Genomic DNA, 10,649 nt, shown 5'->3' with positions numbered 1-10,649 from the left:
CTGAGTAGCTGGGATTACAGGCATGCGCCACCACGCCCAGCTAATTTTTGTATTTTTAGTAGAGACGGGGTTTCACCATGTTGGTCAGGCTGGTCTCGAACTCCTGACTTCGTGATGCACCCTCCTCGGCCTCCCAAAGTGCTGGGATTACAGTTGTGAGCCAATGCGCCCAGCTGAAACCCTTGGACTTTTTAGGCAAATCGAAACCTAAAGAGTTGATTTTGTTTGAAATTAGATCCAGTTATTCTTCAAAAGACGAGTCTTTTTTATGTTTTATAAGACATTTCAGAGGTAATTTAGTCACACTCGAAAATATTCAAAACCACAACACTGGCTTCTTAATTATTAGCAAAATTTCTTAATTTAATAAACATTTATAGAGCACCCACAACTGGATTTAATTTCTGGCACCATTTCTTGCTGGGAGATTTCATATGCATAAATTTCCTTATCTGCAACATGAGACTAATAATTTGTGTCATAAAACTGCTTTAAATGAAGCTAATTAGAAAAAAATAGTAACTTATAAGACATTATAAAACCTTGCATGGCTTTGCATTCAAGTTCTCTTGCTGAGAGCTTATAAAGATTTCCTGGCTGGGTGCGGTGGCTCACGCCTGTAATCCCAGGACTTTGGGAAGCCGAGGCGGGTGGATCACCTGAGGTCAGGAGTTTGAGACTCAGCCTGGCTAACACGGTGAAATCCCATTTCTACTAAAAATACAACAAATTGGCCGGGCGTTGTGGCACGTGCCTGTAATCCCAGCTACAGAAGAGGCTGAGGCAGGAGAATCGCTTGAATCCCAGAGGTGGAGGCTACAGTGAGCCGAGATCGCGTCATTGCACTCCAGCTTGGGCAACAAGAGCAAAACTCGGTCTCAAAAAAAACAAAACAAAACAAAAAAAGATTTCCTAAGGGAAGATGACCAAAGCCTGAGTTTTGGTCTATCACCTTGAGTCCTCCAACTGTGAGCTGTGTGAAATCCTTTCTCCTGAACTTTCCATCTACTGAATACATCTCTTCTGAACTCCCTGCCATTCAAGTCAACATTTCAATTCACCTGTCTTGTAGGAAGTATATACTATGTTTCACTGATTGACACAATTTCAAAGGAGCAGTAGTTCTGTCAAGAGCAGTAATAAATACATGTGAACACGTAAACAGAAGATACAGTGATGAAACCACAGCTGACAGCTTGCCTCTCTGCTCCTAGTCACCTCCTGTGAACCAGGAAGCATTCAAGTCACATGCTTTGCTCAAGAAGAAATGTCTCATAAGCAGGTATCAAGGAGGCAAGCATTTAGCTAAAGTCAGATATTCGGAAAAACACCACCAGGAAACTTGGAGCAGCTTTTTCATCTGTGAACAAGATAATTACTGAGACTGAGGTGGTAACATTGATTATTCCCATTAAAAGGGTAATAAACATATATTTATTTATTTATTTATTTTGAGACAGAGTTTAGCTTCTGTTGCCCAGGTGGAGTGCAATGGCGCAATCTCGGCTCACTGCAACCTCCGCCTCCCGGGTTCAAGTGAGTCTCTTGCCTCAGCCTCCCAAGTAGCTGGGATTACAGGCACCCACCACCACGCCCAGCTAATTTTTTGTATTTTTAGTGGAGACAGGGTTTCATCGTGTTGGCCACACTGGTCTTCAACTCCTGACTTCAGGTGATCCGCCCACCTCAGCCTCCCAAAGTGCTGGGATTACAGGGGTGAGCCACCGTGCCCGGCAAAGGGTAATAAACATATTGTCTCCTAGAAGTTATGTTCAGAGATAGGTATTGACACACAAACCCAAACCCAACAACACAACCAGTAAATGAAAATGGTGGGAACCAGCAATCCCACTTCTGGGTATATATCCAAAGGAAATGAAACCAGTATGTCAGAGATATCTGCATGGCCATGTTCACTGCAGCATTATTCGTAACAGCCAAGATATGGAAACAACCAAATTGCCCATCAATGGATACATGGATTTTAAAATGTGGTAAAGAAGCCAGGCACAAAAAGACAAATACCTCATGATTTCACTTATATGTGGAATCTAAAAAAGTTGAATTCATAGAAGTAGAGAGTAGAATGGTGGTTACCAGAGGCCTACAGGTGCGGGGGGGTGGACAGGGAAAGGGGAGACATTGGTTAAATGGTGCGAAGTTTCAGTTAGACAGGAGGAATAGGTTCTAGGGATCTATTGCACAGCATAGTGACTATAGTTAATAACAATGTATTGTATACAGTATTCAAAATAGCTAACAGAGTGGATTTCAGATGTTCTCACCACAAAGAAATGAAAAGTATTTGAGATGATGAATATGTTAATTAGCCTGATTTGATCATTCCACAATGTATACATGTATTGAAATCACATTGTACCTCGTAAATATATATAATTATTATTTGTCAGGTAAAAATAAAGTAAAGCTTAAAAATAACTCATGAGATATCTTTTCCCACTTTTAGAAAGGAAAATAATGAAGCAATAAGATTTGGTTCATATCCTTGTTGGCTGGAAACTCCTAGAAATTCTTTGAGTTTACCAGTAATAAAGAGTTGATTTCTCTGCTTGAACCCGCGAGGCAGAGGTTGCAGCAAGCTGAGATTGCGCCACTGCACTCCAGCCTGGGCGACAAAGTGAGATGCCATCTCAAAAAAAAAGTTGATTTCTCTATACCAGTAGTTCTATTAGGTACATGATGTTTTAAATTTACATCTCTCTACTGACTAATGATGTTGAGCATCTTTTCATGTGCTTATTTGTCATATGTGCATCGTCTTTGGTGAATTATCCAACTATTTGCTTCATTTTAAAAATTTTTTGTCTTCTTATTTAGTTATAAGAGCTCTTTATATATTCTGGATTCATTTTTGTTGTTGTTGAATGTAGGTTTTGCAAATATTTTCTCCCAGTCTAGGCTATGCTTTCATTCTCTTAACAGTATCTTTCAGAGAGCAGTTTTTATTTTGATGAAACCCAACATATATATATATATATATATTTTTTTTTTTTTTTTTTTTTTTTTTTGAGATGGAGTCTTGACCTGTCACCTAGGCTGCAGTGCAATGGCATGATCTTGGCTCACTGCAACCTCTGCTTCCCGGGTTCAGACGATTCTCCTGCCTCAGCCTCCTGAGTAGCTGGGATTATAGGCACCCGCCACCACACCCAGTAATTTTTGTATTTTTAGTAGAGATGGGGTTTCACCATGTTGGCCAGGCTGGTCTTGAACTCCTGACCTCATGATCTGCCCACTTTGGCCTCCCAAAGTGCTGGAATTACAGGCGTGAGCCACCACACCTGGCCAGTAAATGGTATTTTCTTTTCTTTCTTTAGACAGGGTCTCACTCTGTTGCCCAGGTTGGAGTACAGTGGCTTACTGCAGCCTCAAGCTATTGGGCTCCAGAAATCCTCCCACCTCAGCCTCCTGAGTAGCTGAGACTACAGGTGCATGTTACCATGCCCGTCTAATTTTCGGTTTGTTTTTGTTTTTGTTTTGAGACAGAGTCTTCCTCTGTCGCCCAGTCTGGAGTACACTGGCACGATCTTGGCTCACTGCAAACTCTGCCTCCCAGGTTCAAGAATTCTCTGCCTCAGCCTCCCGAGTAGCTGGGATTACAGGCGCGTGCCACCATGCCCAGCTAATTTTTGTATTTTTAGTGGACACAGGGTTTCACCATGTTGGCCAGGCTGGCCTTGAACCCCTGACCTCGTGATCTGCCCACCTTGGCCTCCCAAAGTGCTGGGATTACTGGCGTGAGCCACCACACCCGGCCACACTCATTTTTTTTTTTTTTTTTTTTGAGATGGAGTTTCTCTCTGTTGCCCAGGCTGGAGCACAGTGGTGTGATCTCAGGTCACTGCAACCCCTGCCTCCGGGGTTCAAGCGATTCTCTTGCCTCAGCCTCCTGAGTAGCTGGGATTATGGGCGCACACCACCATGCCTAGCTAATTTTTGTATTTTTAGTAGAGATGGGGTTTCACCATGTTGGCCAGGATGGTCTCGATCTCCTGACCTCGTGATCCACCCGCCTCGGCCTCCCAAAGTGCTGGGATTACAGGCGTGAGCCACCGGGACTGGCCTGATTTTCATATATTTTTAAATAGAGACAAGGTCTTGCTATGTTGCCCAGGCTGATCTTAAAATCCTGGGCTCAAGCAGTCCTCCCATCTGGGCCTCCCAAAGTGTTGGGATTACAGGCATGAGCCATCGGACCCAGTCATAATCTTAAAAATTGAATTTGTAGCCAGGCCTGGTGGCTCACACCTATAGTCCCAGCACTTTGGGAGGCCCAGAAAGGAGGACTACTTGAGCCCAGGAGTTCAAGGCAGGTGGATCAGCTGAGGTCAGGAGTTCAAGACCAACCTGGGTAACATGGTGAAATGTTACACTACTAAAAATACAACAATTAGCTGGGCATGGTGGTGTGCCCCTGTAATTCCAGCTACTCAGGAGGCTGGGGCAGGAGAATCGCTAGAACCTGGGAGACAGAGGTTGCAGCGAGCCGAGATTGCGCCACTACACTCCAGCCTGGGTGACAAAGTGAGACCCTGTCTCAAAAAAAAAAAAAAAGAAAAGGCCAGGCGTGGTGGCTTACGCCTGTAATCCCAGCACTTTGGGAGGCCAAGGTGGACCGATCACCTGAGGTCAAGAGTTTGAGACCAGCCTGTTTAACATGGTGAAACGCCGTTTCTACTAAAAACACAAAAGATTAGCCGGGCGTGGTGGCTTGTACTTGTAATCGCTGCTACTTGGGAGGCTGAAGCAGGAGAATCACTTGAATCCGGGAGGTGGAGGTTGCAGTGACCCGAGATCGCGCCATTGCACTCCAGCTTGGGCAACAAGAGCGAAACTCCGTCTCAAAAAAAAAAAAAAAAAATGCAGATTCTGATTCTGATCCAGCAGGGGTTTGTTTGTTTGTTTTTTGTCGCCCATGTTGGAGTGCAATGGCAAGATCTCAGCTCACTGCAACCTCTACCTCCCAGATTCAAGCAATTCTCCTGCTTCAGCCTCTCGAGTAGCTGGTTTTACAGGCGCCCGCCATCACACTCGGCTAATTTTTTGTATTTTTAGTAGAGATGGGGTTTACACCATGTTGGCCAGGCTTGTCTTGAACTCCTGCCCTCAGGTGATCTGCCCGTCTCTGCCTCCCAAAGTGCTGGGATTATAGGTGTTAGCCATGGCGCCCAGCCGATCCAGCAGAACTGTACCTATTCCTGGCATGATTACGCATTTCTAACAAGCTTTCAGGTGATGCTCTGATGTTGGTCCAGAGTACATGATTATAGACTTTATTATGAATATCAGTGAAACTAAATAGTCTTCTAGACAGTACAGGGGTCCTCTTAGGAGTTTTCTCAAGAGATTACAGTCACAATGCATCTGCAGTCTGATGGCACAGACATTTGTGTTTGGGCAAGCAGTTCTCCCATTCCTCTCAAGAGTTTATTCAAAACTCTTCAGTAGATGCGTCACTTGGTCCCACTTTCACCACCCACCTCAGCCTCCCGAAGTGCTAGGAATACAGGCATGAGCCACTGCACTCAGCGCATATGTCTTATTTCCAATTATCTAGGGATTTTCCAGACATCTTTTTGTTATTGATTTCCAATTCTCTTGTGGTCAAAGAACATACTTTGTATGATTTAAAACCTCTTAAACTTGGCCAGGCGCGGTGGCTCACGCCTGTAATCCCAGCACTTTGGGAGGTTGAGGCGGGCGGATCACAAGTTCAGGAGATTGAGACCATCTTGGCTAACACGGTGAAACCCCATCTCTACTAAAAATACAAAAAATTAGCCGGGCGTGGTGGCAGGCGCCTGTAGTCCCAGCTACTCGGAAGGCTGAGGCAGGAGAGTGGTGTGAACCCGGAAGGCGCAGCTTGCAGTGAGCCAAGATTGTGCCACTGCACTCCAGCCTGGGTGACAGAGCGAGACTCCGTCTCGAAAAAAAAAAAGAAAACAGAAAAAAAAACCTCTTAAACTTATCAAGATGTGTTTTATGGCCAAATAGTTTATTTGGTAAAGGTCCTGTGTACCCTTAAAATTATGTAGTTGTTGGGTGGAGAGTTCTATAAATGCCAATTAGGTCAAGTTGGTCAATGGTGTTGATCAAGTCTTCTGTATCCCTGCTGATTTTCTGCCTACTTGTTCTTTCAATTATTAAAAGATTTTACTTGAAATCTTTAACTGTAATTATGAATTCATCTATTTTTCCTTTCAGTTTAATTCGTGTTGGAGCATGGGATTTATGTTTCATTTTAATTTCTCAGATCACTCTAATATGCAGCCAGCGTTGAGGGACATTGCTTTAAGCCAATGGTTCTCAAACTTCAGCATACATCAGAATCACACAGGGAACTTGTTATTAATAGAATAGATTGATGGACGCTACTCCCAGAGTTTGTGGGGTGAGGTCCAAGAATTTGCATTTCTTTCTTTTTTTTTTTTTTTTTTTTTTTTAGTACAGACGGGGTTTCACCATGTTAGCCAGGATGGTCTCGATCTGCTGATCTCGTGATCCACCCGCCTCGGCCTCCCAAAGTGCTGGGATTACAGGCGTGAGCCACCGCACCCGGCCAAGAATTTGCATTTTTTATAGTTCCCAGGTATTTCTGATATGCTGATCCAGGAGCCACACTTTAAGAATCACAGTCTAAGCCAACATTTCTCAACCTTAGCTGCATATTAGAATCATCTGGGGAGCTTTAACAATCCTGATTCACCACACAACCCAGATCCATCCGCTTTTAAGGAATAGAATGTGAGGCAAGTTTCCACTAAGCAGTTCTCTACTTGACTTTTCCCTTTGGCTTAGTGATTTTGGGGTCCCAAGATTTATTTTCCTTTCACAAGTTCCAGCACTTTGGGAGGTAGGCAGATCACCTGAGTGCAGGAGTTCAAGACCAGCTGGTAACACAGCGAGACCTCATCTCTACAAAAAAAATACCAAAATTAGCCAGTCGTGGTTGTGCATGCCTGTAGTCTCAGCTACCCAGGAGGCTAAGGTGGGAGAATCACCTGAGCTGGGAGGTCGAGGCTGCAGTGAGCCGAGATCGTGCCACTGCACTTCAGAGCCTGGGGCACAGAGTGAGACCCTGTCTCAAAAAATAAAAACAAACAAAAACTAGAGCTCTTCTGATAGCCCAAGAGCCAGTTTAGAGATTCACTAGGCAAAGGGCCACGAGAGGCAGATGGGAATATTTAGAGATGAAGTCATCCAGTCCATACAGCTATTCTATAAAAGGGGAACCTAGGCTGGGCACGGTGGCTCACGCCTGTAATCCCAGTACTTTGGGAGGCTGAGGCAGGCAGATCACCTGAGGTCAGAAGTTCAAGACCAGTCTGGCCAATATGATGAAACCCCGTCTCTACTAAAAATACAAAAATTAGCTGGGTGTGTTGGTGGGCACCTGTATTTCCAGCTACTTGGGAGGCTGAGGTAGGAGAATCGCTTGAACCTGGGAGGCGGGGGTTGCAGTGAGATGAGATCATACCATTGCACTCCAGCCTGGGCAACAGGAGTGAAACTCCATCTCAAAACAAAAAGAAAAGGAGGGGGTGGGGAACCTGGCTTGCTGTGGGCAACTAGAAAGTATGAAAATAGTCCAGAATTGATAGGCAGCAGATGAGGCAGTTCTTACCTCACTGTGCCCCTAAGCTTCAGACCAACCCACATAGCCATTGACAGCAGATATTTGCACTTGGATATCCTAAAAGCATTTCAAACCCACTTCCAAAAGTATTCCCCCCGACCCATTTATCCCATCAACCCCCACCTACTTCGCCTTTGGCACCCAACTCAATAAATAGCCGAGGGCAAGAACCCGGGAATCATACCTCTCCCTTTATCTCCATGTCTTCAAAGTTACCAAATTCTGCTACAAGTCTTTTAGATCCATCTCCTCCTCCCTATTTCTTCTGCCACAGTTCAAGCCCTCAGTGTCCCTGGATTTTGTTACTACAGATGTCTAACAGGTGTCCTGGCTTCCACTTCTTGACCTGTTTCAACACGTCTGCTGCCCTGCCAGCCACCATAGAGAGCTTTCTAAAACAGAAAGTGTATGTCATTGCCCTATTTATTATTCATTTGTTCTCTACCCCTGGCAGGACAAAGCCCAAAGTCACAAACAGTCCCAATGTATTTATGATTTTGCCTCTGGCCTCTTCTCACATGTCATCTTTCACCACTCATAACTTCAGCCAAGCCCAAGTTTTGCAGTTCCTTCAATGCCACCTTTGGCTTTGACACTAATGGCTCACTCTTCCTGGAAGTGCCCCCCTTCTTCTACCCTTTGCCTGGCTAAAATTAACTCACCCAGACTCAGCTCAGGCTGGTATTTTTCCTGGCACCCCTTTTATAACTCCTTTTGATACTTCCATAACATCTTGTGCAAACAAGAGTCACTACTCACCCTGAACTGTGTTTGCTCACACATCTGTGTCCCTCGTTAAACTATGAGCTGTGGGGTGGCAGGCACACTGTCCTATTCAGCATTTGATATTAAATATTCATCCAACAAATATCTGAGGACCTACTATATGCCAAATACTGTAGATGTAAAGGGTATAGCAGTCAACAAAGCAAAGACACCCCTTGCTATGAAGTGGGAGGTGGCATAAATAAATGAACCTATACATAGAATGAAAAGTGCTGTGCAGATAATTAAAATAAACAATAATATGAAAGTGACTGGACAGGCCGGGTGCGGTGGCTCATGCCTGTAATCCCAACACTTTGGGAGGCCAAAGCGGGTGGATCACCTGAGGTCGAGAGTTTGAGACCAGCCTGACCAACATGGTGAAACCCCGTCTCTACTAAAAATACAAAATTAGCCGGGTGTGGTGGCACGCGCCTGTAATCCCAGCTACTGGGGAGGCTGAGGCAGGAGAATTGCTTGAACCTGGGAGGCGGAGGTTGCAGTGTGCCGAGATTGCACCATCGCACTCCGGCCTGGGCAAGAAAAGCGAAACTCCGTCTCAAAAAAAAAAAAAAAAAAAAAAGAGAAAGGAAAAGAAAAGAAAGTGACTGGACAGGTACTTTAGATTGGGTATGTCAGGAAGTCCCGTCTGGGGAAGCGACATTGAAGCTGATAAGTGAATGTCAACAAGGCAGGCATTCTGAGCTTTGGAGAGAAGAGCACTCCAGCAGGGAGGACTACCAGAGCAAAGTCCGGGCGGCCCACCAGAGCAAAGGCCGGGAGGGCCAAAGGTCCGTGCGCCTTAAAGTGTGGGAAAGTAGTGAAGATGGGGAGACAGGAAGGCAGGGGCCAGATTTACCTTTGCAGGCTAGAGTAGAGTTTTGATTTTTTTTTTTTTTTTTTTTTGGAGACCGAGTCTCGCTCTGTCGCCCAGGTTGGAGTGCAGTGGCACAATCTCGGCTCACTGCAACCTCCGCCTACCCGGTTCAAGCGATTCTACTGCCTCCGCCTCCCGAGTAGCTGGGACGACAGGTGCGTGCCACCACGCCCAGCTAATTTTTTGTATTTTTAGTACAGACTTGGTTCCACCATGTTGGCCAGGATGGTCTCGATTTCTTGACCTTGTGATCCGCCCACCTCGGCCATCCAAATGCTGGTATTACAGGTGTGAGCCATCACACCCGGCCAAGTTTTTATTTTATTCCAAGTGTGATAGAGAGAGACATGATCTGACTTATATGTTTTGAAAGATGGCTCTGGGACTGTTATGTGGCTACTGGGCTGTCCGGAGGGGAAACTGAGACCCGTTTGGAGGAGAGGGAAGTTGGTGGCCTGGATAGAGTGGTGGCAGCAGTTCTGGAGAAAGTGGATGGATCTGGGTTATGTGGTGAGTCAGAGTGGCCAGGAACAAATGACAGGCAGATGAATTAGGGTGACCCTTAGATTTCTGGCTGCATGCAACACTCGGGTAGTTACTGGGGAACCGAGCAGACGCTCAGACACTTCCGAGCCTTGAGAAATCCGTTCTCCCGCCAGGCTTCGGTGTGAGTTAAAGTCGGGCAGCCGGAAAGCGACAGGCTCAGACCCGCAGCCGGTGGCCTCGTAGCGCCGGGACGCCGGGACGCCTGGATACCGGGAGAGCGCTGGGACTCTCCGAGCCCGGCGCGGGGGTTTCCGCATCTTACGGGCGGGGCCGGAAGAGGAAGTCGCGCTGCTGTGGCGGCCGCTGTAGCAGCGGCGGTCCAGTCGTAGCCCGGCCGCCCGCGCCTGTCCGGTCCGGTCCGGCCACGGAGGCAGCGCAGCGGCGGGACTCCGAGCCTACCCCGCCGAGTGAGCTGCGCCGCACCGTGCCGTCCCACCCGGCACCCACCAGTCCGATGGGGCCGCAGCGGCGGCTGTCCCCTGCCGGGGCCGCCCTACTCTGGGGCTTCCTGCTCCAGCTGGTAAGGGGGCGGGAAGGCGCGCAGGCCTCCCAGGGGCTGGGCGGGGCCGGGGCCAAGGCCGGGGCTCCCTTCCCCTACTCCTCGCCCGGCCTCCCCTCTGCCCGCACCTCCGCGGCCTGCTCTCGCACTCCTCTTTCCTCCCCTCCTCTTTCCATTACTCATCTCTTTCCTTCCACCCTCCTCTTTTCCACCCTCTTTCCCCCAACTTTCCCGCCCCCCACTCGGTTCCCGCCCATTGAAGTCTGGCGAAATACCTACCGCAAAAAGATCAGAGGAGCCCCTTA

At 47.0% G+C, this 10,649-nt stretch overlaps 1 protein-coding gene across 4 annotated transcripts in view, besides 1 other annotated feature; it reads left to right on the top strand.

Annotated features, from left to right (window-relative positions):
- Positions 10,093–10,552: a silencer, noted in NCBI's record as "silent region_6430". NCBI's record gives its function as "represses an Ori minimal core promoter by ATAC-STARR-seq in GM12878 lymphoblastoid cells {active_cell/tissue: GM12878}" and the evidence as "EXISTENCE:reporter gene assay evidence [ECO:0000049][PMID:35858748]".
- SPPL2A (signal peptide peptidase like 2A) overlaps positions 10,127–10,649 on the top strand; it is a 63,441-nt gene continuing 62,918 nt past the window's right edge. For all 4 annotated transcript variants that reach the window (NM_001438112.1, NM_032802.4, XM_017022680.2 and 1 more), the window contains exon 1: positions 10,127–10,365. In NM_001438112.1, the coding sequence (NP_001425041.1) occupies positions 10,300–10,365 (66 nt within the window). In that variant the 5' untranslated portion in view covers positions 10,127–10,299. The remainder of the gene's footprint in view (positions 10,366–10,649) is intronic.

The sequence above is a fragment of the Homo sapiens genome, chromosome 15 (genome assembly GCF_000001405.40).
Source record: "Homo sapiens chromosome 15, GRCh38.p14 Primary Assembly".
Lineage (NCBI taxonomy): Eukaryota > Metazoa > Chordata > Mammalia > Primates > Hominidae > Homo > Homo sapiens.
The sequence above is the reverse complement of the archived record's forward strand: the minus strand, read 5'-3'. Positions and strand labels throughout refer to the sequence as shown.